The sequence below is a fragment of the Homo sapiens genome, chromosome 1 (genome assembly GCF_000001405.40).
Source record: "Homo sapiens chromosome 1, GRCh38.p14 Primary Assembly".
Lineage (NCBI taxonomy): Eukaryota > Metazoa > Chordata > Mammalia > Primates > Hominidae > Homo > Homo sapiens.
In genome coordinates this window covers 182,107,394-182,121,721 of record NC_000001.11, presented here as the reverse complement: position 1 = coordinate 182,121,721, position 14,328 = coordinate 182,107,394, and the positions used below count along the sequence as shown (strand labels likewise).

The window sequence follows — 14,328 nt, the reverse complement described above, 5'->3', positions numbered from 1 at the left end:
GTGGGAGAATCAGAGAGGTAAGCAAATTATATTCTATCAAATCATTATACTTAGGATAGGGCAGGGAATTCATCTTACAAATGTCTGCAAGGGCCAGGCAAGCAGGGTAACTAAATGAAAAGATCTCCTGGTGTAAGACAATAGGGAATAGTGCAGACCGCAGCAAGTGGTGAGTATGAGCCCATTCTAAAGGGGAACAGCTGCTACTCAATTCCAAACCGATTAGGATCAAAAGGAGCTAGAAATTTGTATTTTAGTCAAAGGAAATGTTATTTTCTAAATTGGTTGCTCCCAGATGCTCAGGATTCCAGCAGAATTAGCCTGGTATGGAGGCAGTGATTAGTAGGAAAGAGACCTGACAAGCTGCCTTTCTGGATGGACGTAGTATGGGATTCAGTAACCTCTGTAATCAGAAGGGGACACCACAGCCCTCAGTGCCAAGAGGGTAAACCATGTTAGGTGCTGCCAGCATCCAAGACCCCTGCTCCTCGGTAGCCCTTTGGGCTCCTGTGCACCTAGCGAGACCGTAACTTTAAGTCAATCTCTGACCTTCTTAGGCCTGACCCAGGCTCCAGGGCAGCTCCTCCCCTAGACTGCCACGGGACTTCTGTGGCAGTGGCTAATTCCCTGGCCATGGGGATCTGTTTGGGGCTGTTTGTTTTGCAGAAGAAAACAGAAGGCCGCAGTGTATCGGAATTCTGCCCCTCCTCCTGCACTACTGCCTCCCCCACCACATGAAAGCTGCTGAGCAAACAGAGAAATCAAAGATGATTATACGCTGCTGGAAACCCGCGTGCTTCCGCCTGGCTGCATCTCCCTGCCAAACTGTTATGTAAGCCGCAGCCCCACTCAGGCCTGGAATCAAACAGAGATGCCATTTAGAGCCCTCCCGTGACCCGCTCCTCACCTGTAGCCTGGCTCAAACCGTGTCTCACCTGGAGTAGACCTGCCCAGGGAGGGCCATGCATGCTCTGTGGCTGGCAAAGTGGCTTTTCCATTTGTTTTGGGATTTCCCTCTCTCCTTTCCCATCCAGCACAGAGGTATGGATGGGTCAGGACCAGGCGTTTACTTTGGTTAGATTCCAAATGACTAAGATATTTTATGATGGAAAACTCCATTTGACAATCCCAGGGAGTTGAGTGTTTTTCACCCTCCTAAGTGAATAATTCACTTTGGCTGTTTAGATATCAGAGCTGAACAAGTGGCTCTGGAGCCCAAGATGACCTCCTGGCCAGAAAGGGCCTAACCGCACTGCTCTGATGACCAGTACTTATTTCTATTTAGGGATTCTGGGCATCTTCCGCAGCCCTAAACCACCTAAATGGACTTATAAGAGCTGTTCCTTAAATGCGTCAGTGACTTGGGTAAATGAGCTGAATTCTCAGGGCTTTATTTTTTTTTCTTTCTGCATCACTCAATGACTCCACAATAAGTGTGCTACAAGTTTTAAATGCTAATATTGGATTTTGGACACTGTTACAGTTATATCTGAAGTAAGATGTCAGGCTGTTTGGCGTTAACAGTGCCCAAGAGTTTATATTCGTATCTATTCAACGCTGACCTCCATTACTCTCTCCCTTTTGCAGCCTTAACTGACCATGCTCCAGTGTGAGGGACTCAGATCTCAAGTAGAAGAGGCCTGAACTTTGGAGTCAGATAACGCCTGTATTGGAGCTATAGCTTAGTCTTTCAGAGCCTATGGGACCTTGTGCTGTGGCCCGAACCATGCTAAATCCCTGGAGCCTCCCGATTTCCCTTAATTTTCCTACATTCCATCAGAAATGCACAAAGATTCCAAGAGGGCCAATTCTGGCTTTGGAAAATGATTCACCATCCTCCACCTCTCACTTGTTCCAGTATGGAAAGGGTGAACAGGAAACCCTTTGCTATTTGGTGAGATCGACCCAGGAGTGAGGCATTAGACTGGAATCTCTGGACCCTCATCTTTTTTTTTTTTTTTTTTTTGACAGAGTCTTGTTCAGTCACCCAGGCTGCAGTGCAGTGGCACGATCTCCGCTCACTGCAACCTCCTCCTCCCAGGTTGAAGCGATTCTTCTGCCTCAGCCCACCGAGTAGCTGGGATTACAGGCGCATGCCACCACATCGGCTATTTTTTTGTATTTTTAGAAGAGGCAAGGTTTCACCCTGTTGGCCAGGCTGGTCTCGAACTCCTGACCTTGTGATCCCCCTGCCTCAGCCTCCCAAAGTGCTGGGATTACAGGCATCAGCCAACACACCCAGCCCTGGCCCTCATCTCTTTTCCCATTAATGCTGGAGGGGGCGCCTCACAAACCAAGACACCTGCTAGTCGTTGGACTCACTCTTGATGACCAAGGTGCCGTATCTAGTAATTGATACAGTTATCTTTTCCTGGGAATATGAATAGCAGGTTCTTAGTCCTTGCACAGGCATTTTAAAAATGCACAAACCAAAGAAAAAAATTGCTTTTTCCAGATCCCAATCCCTAGCAGGACTAGTCAATAGGTCCCTGTATCCAGATAAGAGAAGGGATTTATGGGAGCATCCCATAAGCACATGGCAGGGAAAGAGAACAAATTCTAAATGTCCTGAGAACTGTTTTTTACCAAGCATTGCATTGTCACCATGCTGTAAAAGTAATAAACTTCCCTCCCATTGTCTGAATCTAAATAGGGGAACCAACCTCCAAGTCCAACCCCCTTCCTCAGGGAAACTGCTTCTCACTGTGCTTCAACATGACCTTTGGCTGGGAACTAAAATGTGAGTCTGAATTTGGTAAAGCTTGGATCCTTTCATTTTTCCCAACTCTCCCAGTCCAGAGGGATAAAAATCCCTGCTCCTAAAACCCAGTGGTCTCTGTGAATGAGCTCATCCAACTCCTGCTGGCTTTCTGGATAATAATGAAACTCACGTTGACCAGTCTTTCTACATTGTTTTATATATATATAGTTATATATATAGTTATATATATAGTTATATATATAGTTATATATATAGTTATATATATAGTTATAGTTATATATAGTTATATATATGACTTTATATATAATATAAAGCTATATATTTTTTAAATTTATGAAGATAATACTGATGTTGTTGGGACAGAAGCCTGAGAATTGAGCCTTTTTGCGTCCCCTTTCTCTCTCTGTCTCCTCCTCAGACCCTCAGATTTCCACCTGGAGAAAGGGGATGAGAGTAGAATGAAGTTGAATCATCTTGACTAAGGGAGGTGGTTTCTTCATCAGACATGCCCTCTTAACCTGGGTGGTAGTTGGAAGCTGAGGCAGGCAGGTAATAGGTAATAGCAGCCTAGTTAAAGCATGGAGACTGCATCAATGCCACCCTCAACCCCTCAACAAATGGGGCACAACTAGAACAGGATGTTTAGGACCAGAGAACGCTTTCACATGCCTGAGAACAAACAGAGTAACTGGTCAGCCTATCCGCTGATTTGTGAGATCAGCCCCTTGGAAGCCTTTTCTTCCATCCCAGGCATTATGACTTCAATTCAACAACTCTTAAGAGATGCACAGAGGAGCTTGAATCAGGAACATGGGGTTCAATGGTTACAATTCCCAAAGATGTCGAAAACAAAGTTTAAAAAGTATGTGACCATTTTGTCAATTATGTTTTCTCTATAAAATAAAAAAAAAAAGAAGCTTCGGGTATCACTGACATGTATCTTAAGATTTAGAGTTACACAAACACTCTAGTATATAATTTTTGAGCTTCCGCACTAACGTTAAGCATTAATAATTACTGATCAGTTTAATCTAGGCCATAATGTTATATACAGTAAATGAATTGTTTCTGGAAGTTTCTAAGAACAATTCTGAAATATGGATGTGGCTGTGGAGAATGAGGGTTTTTCTTTTCAATAAAAAATAAACGTTTTTTCTTTTTGCTCCTCCCCTGACTTTATTTTTTACAACAGTTTTAGATTTACAGAAAAATTGCAAGGATAGTACAGAGCTCCATGCACCTCTCCTTCAATTTTTCCTGTTGATAACATCTCACAGGAGTATGGTACATTTGTTATGATTAACAAATATTGATACATGATTGTTAATTAAAGCCATACATTAGAGAATGGGGATTTTACAGAAGGTTGGCATTAAAACTTCCCTGAAGTATCTAAACTCAGGCCTTTCACATGGCGGAGAGAAGCCTTTGCTGCCTTTGGATCTTCCCATTGCCATTCCAGACTGCCTGCTGCTTTCCCGAGTTCTTTCTGCAAGGGGCAAAATGTTTTCTGGTCAAAAAACTTGGTTGTCCATCATGCAGCAACAGCCACATGTCTTTCTTTTAAGTTGTTCTCAAAAACAATTTATAATAGCAGTGGAGTGAATTGGCTAAGAGTGGTGATTTTGGAATCAAATAGATTAAAATCCAGTTCTGTCACGTATAAGCTGTTATTTTATCAAGCTTTATTTTTCTCATCTGTAAGGGGAAATGATCATAGTGTCTTCCTCATTAATTTGCTATGCGTATTGAATGAAAATGTTTCAGAAGCACCCAGCATCATGCCAGGCATATAATACTAGTTCAATACTGGTACCTATTGTTAAGCTTAACAGGTGAGCTTTTTTTGAGAAGCAACTATGGTCAACAAGCTAGTCAATGAGTAATCTAGATCAATTTGATGAAAAATAATTTTTCCAACAAAGATCAGCTTCAAAGAGCAGTGGGGAGAAGAGACATCGTTGTGGAAGCATAAAATTAATTGCCTGAAGAATTCTCTTCAATTGGAAAGAACAAGGCAAGTATAGGGACTACTTATGTGAAAACATGTGAGGAATCCCAGCCTGGGCAACATGGTAAGACCCCATCTCCACAAAAAATACAAAAATTAGCTGGGTGTGGTGGTGCATGCCTGTAGTCCCAGCTACTCAGGAGGCTGAGGTAGGAGGATTGCTTGAGTTCAGGAGGTCAAGGCTGCAGTGAGCCGTGATGGTGCCACTGCACTCCAGCCTGGGTGACAGAGTTAGACCTTGTCTCACAATAAACAAACAACACATGCGAGGAGGTACCCACAGGCTTTTTCTTCTTTACCATTCTGCTTGAAAGATTAAGGCATCAGTAAATGTTTAGAGCAGCAGATATCTCTATTAGAGGCATTGTTGAGGGACAGATGATGTCCCAGAGGGAATTAGGAGCGTTATGGAGACCTGGCTCCTGCCTTCCTATTCTCCCCCTCCTCCCTCACCACCTCTTCCAATTCTGCAGCTCTGTGGATCTACTGCAACACATCAGACAGGCAGGCTCTCTGGGCTGGCCAAGTCCTTTCTTGCTGTACTCCTTCTGCCTGGGTGCACCACCACACCTGCACCTGGCTATTCATCAAGACTCAGCTTGGCTATCTCTTCCTCTGGAAAGCCTTCTCTGGTCACCACCACCCTGGTTAGCACATGCTCCCATAGGTTTCCAGTCTCCATTCTTAGGCTCTAACCCACTGCATCACCTCTCTGCCTCACTCTGTTGGGAGTACCATAGGTACACAAGTCTAGCATGGTACCCGGGATGTGGTGAGAGCTCAGAAAATATTGCCTCGTGCCTATTCTCTGAGCATCTCCAAGCCCAAGGGCTTTTGATTCTTCCCTCAAATGCTGAAGTGGAAACAGTTAGGGGAGGCACGTAGATGTAGCGAACGTTGCCTAGCTACACCTGATGCATAAAGGAGAAAACTTTAAAGGTGTCTCTATAAATAATATAACTAAAGCCAGTATAGGATTAAACAGTAACAGATAAATTATTTCATGCAGTGGTTTCCAAGCCCCAATGCAGGAAATGATGTTGGTCTGTTGTGAAGTTTTCCCAGGTTAATGGGGATTCTCCTCAAAAAATGGCCACTGGTCTCATGAGGGTATTCAGTGCTGTGGGCAGGGACTCTTGGCTAAGAATGGCCCCAGAGAGGGGGTCGCCCTGGTGTCCACTTCCTTCAGCACTCCCAGGAGAGATGCTTGGTCTGTCCTAGCCCACCTTCCTAAATATTGTGACCACTATGACAATACAGTGGAGGCAGCAAAAGTGAAGCAACTCCTTTGAGGTCACACAGCTACTAAGTTTTGAAATTAGGATCCAGGCCCATCTGTCTGACCCAGAGCATTTAACCTCTGTATTCCTAAGCAACCGGCATTTACTCATGTTGTAGGCTTGGTGCTCAGAAGGATAGAGTCTTCCTGTATGAGGCTGAGCTGGCAAACCCAGGTCCATTTTACATGTACATGTATTTCCAGGCTGGATGGCATTGGCGTCCATTTATCATTTAGGAAACATTTTATACCACCTAATTCCCTTCCCTCATTATCCTGTGGGTCTCTCTAGGACTGGGGAGGAAGGCAAGATTCCAGGGTGGATAGAGAGGTATCTTAATACCTTATAATACTTACCGCACAGTAGTCTCTACTCTGCACTTGAGGATTACAGTAGTATTCTCAGAGGGAGGATTACTGCCGTGGGTTGAGTAGCTCTGTAATGGACTCCAGAAGTCCCTAAATAGGTAAGTTGGATAAGAGCTTGGTATTTCTTTAAATAGGTAAGTAGGTCATTGCTGGGATTTGGTAATTGTTTTTAACATATAAGATTATTTGTAATAACCTTGGTATTTTCTTGACATAAAATTTAGTCTTATATAAAACACCCACTATAAGACACTCAATAACTTTTTGGTTAAATTTTTAGCACCTTATGGTCTATAGGACAGCACTATACCTGCAGCTGCAGCATAGATTCCCACCCAAAGAGGCCCTGGGCCCCACAGCAAAGTATTCTCCAGGTGTGACTCCACACACAGCCCTAAGCAGTGTGGGCTGAAGAGCCCCTAAGATCAGGCGAGCCAGCCGGCTGTGTTAGAGGAAGGTGCTCCCCGACCCTGCTGAGCAGCTGCGATAGGGGGAGCCGTTATTATTTATCTCAGGATGATCATCTCGACTGAAAACATTCCTTCCCTCTAAGGTGGTGACCTAGATCAGAGGTCAAATGTGAGCTGATCAGAAATGAAAACCCATCAAGCAGCCATGGAAACAGAAGCCGAAGGCAGACCCACATCTTTTCTCTGGCTTCTGTCGTTTGAGACCCAGAGCGAGTATAGCCTTGCTGTTCCCTCCCTGGGAGTTTATTCTGTGGTTTTGGCACAAGACGGCAATCTGGGGGAGAAAGCAAAGTCTATGGATATGGTTGCCTTTTCTCCTCTAAGCCAACTAGTGCCTTGTTTTTCTGTGAGCCTGCCACTGTGGGAAAATTGCTAGAGTGTAAAGTTTCCCTCTTTGTCCCCAGCGCACTTCATTTACCAGTGAGCCAAGCTGGGAACAGAGCCGCCTCTCACACAGCTCATGAATGACTCCATTTTCTCAGGGCAGCCTGTGCCTGCCCATTGTCTAACTGTCATGGCCTCTTGTATAGGTGTTCCCTGCAGTCCAGGCTGTTATGTAATGCCTGGGCAGGGAACACTGCGTGAGGGCAAGAGAGATCAGAGAGAGGAAAAACCCAGAGGGAAACCAAGACCAAAACGTCTTCCTGGAGAAGAAAGCGGGGGAAATGCTAGCCATTTGTCAGCTCTTTTCCTCTGGCTTGTTTGCCTGAGTGATAAACTTTGATTGCTGGCATACAAAGCCCCACGCTGGCTCCAGGAGCACTTCTCTTTATATCTATAAGACAGGATATGCAGTTCCCCTACGCCAGGGCAGCTGCCACCTAGGTCCTCCCACAGGACTGTGACAGAAAATCCTCCCCCTCTCTTATGGCCTAGGAGCAAAGGACTTTCCCTCTCCCAAGGCTCCACTTTCTGTTTCTCCTTCTCCTGCTATATCTTTGGCCCAGTGAGCTTCTCAATCCTGTTCAGAGAAGCACACACCTTCCGTGGGCTCACCTGTGGCGATTTCCAGGTAGTCTTGACTCTTCATCAGGCTCAGTGTTGAGAGGCAGCCATCACTTGGCATCCATGAATGGCACCCTTACCCCCATAGTTGTGTCACCTGGCTGCCATGTTCTGGGCTTATGTGTTCCCCATCATTCCTTTTGGCCACACTACCAGTATTGTGGTAAAATGAAGGGAGGTGAAGGGGTGTGTATCATTCTCTGTCTGCCCTAGCATCCCCTGCAAGCTTGTTCTGTAGAATACTAGCCCTGGGCTGGGCGCAGTGGCTCATGTCTGTAATCCCAGCACTCTGGGAGGCCGAGGCAGGATCACCTGAGGTCAGGAGTTCGAGACCAGCCTGACCAACATGGTGAAACCCCGTCTCTACTAAAAATAAAAAAATTTGCCAGGCGTGGTGGTGGGTGCATGTAATTCCAGCTATTAGGGAGACTGAGGCTGGAGGATTGCTTGAACCCAAGAGGCAGAGGTTGCAGTGAGCTGAGATTGCACCATTGCACTCCACTGGGTGACAAGAGCAAAACTCCATCTCAAAAAAAAAAAAAAGAAAGAAAAAAGAACACTAGCCTGGGAGCCACAAGAAGAGACTTTACAACAAGTAAAATAGGATTCCATGGATAGATATCATGGGGGAACGCTATATACTCTACCCCACTCTTATAAAGTCACAATGATTATTAGCATAATAAGACCCTGAAATGTTTGCAGTAAAGAAACCGATATCACTGTGGCGTAACATTTTCCAAACTTACTGAACATCTGGTCTACAAGCTCCATGAAAACAGAGACTTCACCTATTGTTCATGGTCGAATACACACTTCATAGCTCTGTTTGTGGGTATTCACTAAGTGTGTTAAACTGAAGTGAATTTAACTGAATCTTCATTCCAAGTTGTATCTATTAACCCTGCAGAACTAAGGTCCCACAGAACAAACATTGGCAAATGCTGGTTGATACCATGCACTAATGCTATCAATTACAATGACGAGATGGGAACACGAGCACAGGGAGACCCACGCGGAAACTTTTCTGGTCCTCACATGAGAACAGGCTGCAGAAGATTGCTCTGTTCCCAGCTCTTTAAAAGTGCCTGGCCCACCCATGAGCCACTCCACAGGGAAGAGGGTATGTGCATGTTTCTGGTGCTCGCACAGACCCCTTTCTGACTTGTCCCCCTACCCTCTCTTGTTTTGCTCACCCTGTTCTTTGATCCCTTGGCTTTGGAGTCTGCCTCACATTAGGTTCTTCTGATCTGATGCTTCTCTTTGTTATTAAAAAAAAAAAAAAATCGGCCGAGCACAATGGCTCACACCTGTAATCCCAGCACTTTGGGAGGCCAAGGAGGGTGAATCACCTGAGGTCAGGAGTTTGAGACCAGCGTGGCCAACATAGTGAAAACCCGTCTCTACTAAAAATACAAAAATTAGTTGAACATGGTGGTGGGCACCTGTAATCCCAGGTACTTGGGAGACTGAGGCAGGAGAATCGCTTGAACCCAGGAGGTGGAGGTTGCAGTGAGCTGAGATTGTGCCATTGCACTCCAGCCTGGGTGACAAGAGTGAAACTCTGTCTTGAAAAGAAATCATGAAAAAAACCCAAACAAAACCCAAAAATCTTATCTCAAGCTTGCTAACTTTGGCTTAGTTAGGTGTAAGAAAACCCTAGATTTGGACTGGGCGCAGTGGCTCATGCCTATAATCCCAGCACATTGGGAGGCTGAGGCGGGTGGATCACCTGAGGTCAGGAGTCGGAGACCAGCCTGATCAACAGGGCAAAACCCCAACTCTACTAAAAATAAAAAAATTAATTGGGCATGGTGGCAGGCACCCATAATTCCAACTACTTGGGAGGCTGAGGCAAAAGAATTGCTTGAACCTGGGAGGTGGAGGTTGCAGTGACCCGAGATCACGCCATTGCACTCCAGCCTGGGTGACAGAACATGACTCCATCTCAAGATAAATAAATAAATAAATAGAAAACCCTAGATTTGAATCCAGATTTTGCCATTTCCTGGCCGTGAGATTTTTAGAAATTTCTTGGGCCTATCAGAACCTCATTCTCCACTGTGTAAAATGAGGATAGTAACACGTGCCTCAGAGTTGTTGTGAGAATTAAATGAGCATGTAAGCCTTGCACAGTGGCTGGCATTTGGCCAGGGCTTGGCACATGGCTGCTATTATTACAATTGTTCCTCCCTTTCAGCTCTGAGCCTTGCCTGCCGCCTTCTTTTGGGCATCCGCCCAACTCCAGGTGAGCCTCTTTCTCTCTCTGCTAGGTTAGCTCCATGAGACCCAGCTGGCTAGGACTCTGGTCCAGATTTCCTCTGCCTCTGGGGACTTCTCCCTCCTCATCGGTCCCATCATTGCTGCAGCCTTCAGTAGTTCCTTGGACTCATCCTTTTACCACTTTTTAATCTCTTTTTGGGGCCCCCATAGAAGGAAGTAACCCTTCATTAGCCGAATGTTTTGTAGTTTACAAGATTCTAATACAGCACCCCACTTAATCCTCATCACATTGCTCTGCCTGAGTTGTCTGTCTACAGATGAGAAAAAATGTGACTCAGTGACTGCTTCACTCACACAGCAATCAAACATCAGAGGCTGGATTGGTATGCAGGTCTGGCTTCAGATGGAGCATCTCTGTCAGCCCTCACCACAGCTGCCACCTGGATAACTGTGAAGCATAGTCCTATCCTCTGGACCCTCAGGACCCTGCCACTGCCATCCACTTTCTACCTCCACTTAACGATCTGGCACAGCAATAAAAGAGGCCTGTAGGGAGAGGGCATGGGGTGAAGGAAAGAGATAGAGGAGGAAAGGTAAGGTACTGGAGTAAAGAAAAGAACAAAGGGTGGTCTTCCCTTTTAGACGTTCTTTATATCCCATCTGCAACAAATGTACAAGACCTAGTGACACATTCTAGATCATGTAGGCATCTAGGATGCCTTTGTCTTTGTAAGTCACAGAGCCTGTGGATGTGGGTTCCTGTGAAGGAACAAAACATGGTCTGGTGCAGTAAGCAGAGGGCAGCACCATGGACAGTCATCCACCTGTCTTCTAATCATGGAGGCACGAGCGCTAGAAATATAGTAAGTAGCAAGGAGAGGAGAGGAAGGGAGGGGGGAATCTTCTTTCTCTGTGGAAAGAATCATGCACTCTGAAAAGCAGGACTTTCGCGTTCTTCTCTGGGGGTGGTGAATACCGTTTTTGGAAAATCAGGAATGTGATACACATGTACAAGAAAGGAATGGTCATCCCTTACCCTCTGGTCTGGAGGTACCAGGCATAGCCTGTCACATGCTTCTCTTCCTTCTGGACCACTTTAATTATTCTTTCTTTCTCTAGCTTCCCAGAGGCCCTGAATAAATATCTCCTGTGTTATATTCACCCAGTAGCCTGGAAACAAAGAGTTTAAAACACTCTGACTTGTCATTTCTGTCTGCCATAAAGAGCACATCAAGAACCTAAATTTCTACTTTTTTACAGAAAAGGGATTAAATAATACTTCTGGTTTGAGCTCAGGTCATTAGGGGTGTTCTCATTACATATTCCTGCATAAGAACCCCTCCAAAAATGTAGTGGCTTAAAACAGCATTTGTTTCACACACAAATCTGCAGTTTTGGCAGGGTATAGAGAAAATAGCTCATCTTTGCTCACCTGGCATCAGCTGGAGCTGCCCTGAAGCTTCATGACAGACATGCAAGTGAATGAGCCTTCAGAAGTTTCCAGCTCCCAGCCTTTGTCTGTCAGTTCACTGGGAAGATGCAAAAATGAGAGCTAAAATAGCTGGGGTTCATTGGGCCTCTCTCTCCCTCTACATGATATCTCCACATGACCTTTCCAACATGCAGCTTCAGGGTAATTGGATATCATCATAAAGAGCAGCTCAGTGTTCCCAAGGTGTGGGTTGCCTCCCCGCCCCCGCTCCCCGCCACACATTTTCACTCTATTATCCAGGCTGGAGTGCAGTGGCACAATCTTGGCTCAATGTAACCTCTGCCTCCTGGGCTCAAGCAATCCTCCCACCTCAGCCTCCCAAGTGGCTGGGACTACAGGCATGTGCCACCAAGCCCAGCTAATTTTTTTTTTTTTTTTTTTTTTTGAGACGGAGTCTTGCTCTGTCACCTAGGCTAGAGTGCAGTGGCGCGATCTCGGCACACTGCAAGCTCCGCCTCCCGGGTTCACACTATTTTCCTGCCTCAGCCTCCCGAGTAGCTGGGACTACAGGCGCCTGCCACTGCGCCCAGCTAATTTTTTGTATTTTTAGTAGAGACGGGGTTTCATCATGTTAGCCAGGATGGTCTCGATCTCCCGACCTTGTGATCCGCCCGCCTCGGCCTCCCAAAGTGCTGGGATTACAGGCGTGAGTCACCACGCCTGGCTACGCCCAGCTAATTTTTGTATGTTTAGTAGAGACAGGGTTTTGCCATGTTGCCCAGGCTGGTTTCCATCTCCTGAGCTCAAGTGATCCACCCGCCTTGGCCTCCCAAAGTGCTGGGATTACAGGCATGAGCCACCATGCCTGGCCAGGTTGCCTTTCATAACCTAACTTTAGAAGTTATTCAGTATCATTTCCATGACACTATACCCATTGAAGCAGTCACAAAGCGAAGGGGAGATGGACTTCATTTCTTATTGCAGATGGAGGTGGCAAGGTTCCAGAACAATATGTGAGACTAGAAATATAGCTGTGGACATTATTTGAAAATTCAACTTACGACAAGGGTTAAATCAATGGAGGGGACACAAATGTGTTGGGTTACTCGTTTCTGAGCTGTCAGACACTGAACTAATGAACTTTTCTTTTGCCTTTTGGGGGTTATAAGTTGTAAGAGAATAAGCAATAAAACCAAATGGAGAACCAGTCATTTGTAAAAAGCATTCACTCCCTTCTTCCCTGGGTCGCTTCTTCAAATCACTGGCAATAGGCATCACCATTATTGTTATAAAGCTAAGGGAAGCTGGGGTTTTTAGAGCAAAGGTGAGAAAGTTGATAGCGATCGTCTGGATTAATCGCAGGGGGCAGAGACCCTCACTAGCTACTGCTCCAGCAACTGAAATAACCAACTAGGGAACTTATCATTTCTGCTGAGAGAAGAGTTTTACTCTGAGGTACCAGGGAGATGGTTCCATGACATAAATATAAGGAATTGGTTAGGATGAGGAATGAATAAAGGCATAAAACAATGTACGTTCCAATCCCACTAGGAAGGAAGGTAACATATTAATAACGATAATATATTAACAAATGGAGCACCATCCTACAGAACACTGAGTCTCTTTTGATGGAGAAGATGAAAAAAATGTCAAAATATGTGAGGGCCCCAAAATGAGCAAACGAGAGCTCAGTATCAACGTGCCTATCTTGCTGTGTTTAAAAAAAAAAAAAGCTTTGAAAATAATATGATAATCACCCATTTATAAGCTAGAAAATATAATGGATCTTTAAAATATAATATTCATAGTTATAGATATTATTTAAAATTAAGAGAAAAATACACTCAAGGAACAACAAAATAAACCCCACCCATCGAAATGACTAAGACACCTAGACAATATAAATTCTAATTTTGATTAATCTTAATGATTATTATTCAATTTAGTTTTTCAAACTGTTACTAAGGGCCTATTAAATGCCACCATTAAGCTGGAGTGCTTCAAGTTTCTTACAGATAGGTGAGGGTGACAGTCATAAAAAACTGATTATGTGGGGTGGTCTTGTTTTGTTTGTTTGTTTGTTTTAGACGGAGCCTTGCTCTGTCATCCAGGCTGGAGTGCAGTGGCAAGATCTTGGCTCACTGCAACCTCCACCTCCCGGGTTCAAGCTATTCTCCTGCTTCAGCCTCCCAAGTAGCTGGGATTGTGGGCATGCACCACCACATCTGGCTAATTTTTGTATTTTTTGTAGAGATAGGGTCTTACCATGTTGATCAGGCTGGTCTTGAACTCCTGACCTCAAGTGATCTGCCTGCCTTGGCATCCCAAAGTGCTGAGATTACAGGCTAATTATGTGTTTTGATGACACTTTGCCATAGGAGCATGTGGAAGGGCCACTTGGACTAGACTCAAGAGGCAGAAGGTGATTCTTGAAGAATAAGTAAAGTTTTAAATAGGGGGAGAAGTAAGGGAAGAGAAATTCATGCAGAAGGAACAGCAGGAATACTTGGAAGTGTACGTAATATGTTTGGCAGTTTTAGACCACGGACCTCACAAAGGTGAACAGTGGAAAAGGAGGTTTGAGAGATAGGTAAGGGCCAGATTATGGAGAGTTTACCAACTGTGGCAAGGAGCTTAGACTGTCTGTGGACAGTAGGAAAGCACCAAAGGGCTTTAGGCAATGTTGTGTCAGTGTTTGATCTCTCTGTGGGGATGGTCCAGAGAGGATAAAGGTGAGACCAGTTAAAAGGCCAATGCTGACCTCCAGGTGAATAGTGATGAGAACTCACATTAGAGCAGTCACAGTAGAGATATTCG

The 14,328-nt window shown here is 45.0% G+C and overlaps 1 long non-coding RNA gene across 1 annotated transcript, besides 2 other annotated features; it reads right to left on the bottom strand.

Moving 5' to 3' along the window:
* Nucleotides 534–828: an enhancer, noted in NCBI's record as "tiled region #10342; HepG2 Activating DNase matched - State 5:Enh". NCBI's record gives its function as "activates a minimal TATA promoter and a strong SV40 promoter by Sharpr-MPRA in HepG2 cells {active_cell/tissue: HepG2}" and the evidence as "EXISTENCE:reporter gene assay evidence [ECO:0000049][PMID:27701403]".
* Nucleotides 534–828: a silencer, noted in NCBI's record as "tiled region #10342; K562 Repressive non-DNase unmatched - State 21:Repr". NCBI's record gives its function as "represses a minimal TATA promoter and a strong SV40 promoter by Sharpr-MPRA in K562 cells {active_cell/tissue: K562}" and the evidence as "EXISTENCE:reporter gene assay evidence [ECO:0000049][PMID:27701403]".
* Nucleotides 3,074–11,651, bottom strand: LOC105371642 (uncharacterized). The gene is made up of 3 exons (XR_922341.3): nucleotides 11,512–11,651; nucleotides 6,370–6,471; nucleotides 3,074–4,211 (listed from the first exon to the last, which is right to left on the bottom strand). It is a non-coding gene; the product is annotated as an uncharacterized LOC105371642 (long non-coding RNA).
* Nucleotides 11,652–14,328: the final 2,677 nt, after the last annotated feature.